Raw genomic sequence first — 1,523 nt, 5'->3', positions numbered from 1 at the left:
ACCACTGAACGACAAATGAGAGGAGCTGGGGCAACCCACATGCCAAATAATACAAGCATTTGCTGTCAAATTCAAGCAGTTAGAGGCTAAGAAAAATACTACACAAGACCCAATGTACTCTTTCCAATTCTCATTTTTGTGGAAATGAACAATAAAAATTATTCTATGTGATTATAACCTTTCCTTCCTCCTTCTCCCATTTTGCCAGGAACAGACTGACCTTCCAACTAATCAACCCCAGAATCGTTTTTAAACACCTCATATGTTAATAGTATTCTCTCAGAAACTGTGAGGTAAAGAGGAAAAGAAAATACTTATAACAAAGTTCCTGCCATGGAGAAATATGTCTCACTGGAAATAAAATGGGAAAAGTTAAGAAATAAAATTGGAAAGATTTCCAAGATGCATCATTGAACAAAAAAAGCAAGGTGCAAGCTAATGTCATATAGTTTGCTCCTATTTGCATAAAAATGTCTATGGGACATACAGATGTCTATATAGGCAAGTTTCTGTATGAAAATTTTCTGAATGATATACAAAAATTTTTGCTGCCAGCCGACATGATGGCATATGTCTGCAGTCCCAGCTACTCAAGAGGCTGAGGTTGCTTGAGTCCAGGAGTTCTGGGCTCTAGTGCGCTATCCCAATCGGGTGTCCACACTAAGTTCAGCAACAATAGGGTGACCTCACGGGAGCAGGGGACCACCAGGTTGCCTAAGGAGGGGTGAACCAGACCAGGTCAGAAATGAACCAGGTTTAAATTCCCGTGCTGATTAATAGTAGGCTCACACCTGTGAATAGCCACTGCACTCCAACCTGGGCAACATAGCAAGACCTGGTCTCAAAAAAAAAAAAAAAATTGTTGCAGATGTTCATCTCTGGAGAGTGGGTCTGGTGGGTGGGTTCAGAAAGACATTTTTAATTCTACACCACCTTATACTGTTTGCTTACCATGTGCATATGTTTCTTTAATTTTTTAAAATTGTAAATACTGCAAACAAAAAAACACCACAAAGTAATACATAATTACACAGCAAGTGAATAGGAGAGAAACCAACATTTATTGACGACCTCGTAGGAGCCAGGCATAACTCCCTACGGCCTCCCAATCACGACGGCCCCGCGGGTGTGGTTATGATGTTTCTGGCCCCTGGAAACCAGCCTGCAACCTCTCCTCATGCTGTTCTGCCACCTCAGGCAAACCCACAGTTGGCTCTGGCTCTGAGCTTTTTCTAGCATATGGGATGTGGCCAAATTTGGATTGTTTCCCAGGGAGGGTAAATAGCGTGTTGGAGATTGAGTTGAAACAACCAAACTCCTTTTTAGCAAGCCAATAGGATCAATCCAGGGCTTGTAAAGTACTACCTAAATCATCTGTAGTTCCTTTGACTGCTTCTTTCATCTTGAAGGCTATGAAACAAACATACACTTTACAACTTAATATATGCTGCTTTCAGAACTATTTACCCCACGTGGAAACCAAACACCCTGCAGAGCTTCCTCACTTTATTTCTGTGGATGGA

At 41.4% G+C, this 1,523-nt stretch overlaps 1 pseudogene; it reads left to right on the top strand.

Moving 5' to 3' along the window:
• Nucleotides 565-843, top strand: RN7SL107P (RNA, 7SL, cytoplasmic 107, pseudogene; annotated as a pseudogene).

Source organism: Homo sapiens, chromosome 8, assembly GCF_000001405.40.
Source record: "Homo sapiens chromosome 8, GRCh38.p14 Primary Assembly".
Lineage (NCBI taxonomy): Eukaryota > Metazoa > Chordata > Mammalia > Primates > Hominidae > Homo > Homo sapiens.
This window is presented reverse-complemented; position numbering and strand designations above follow the sequence as displayed.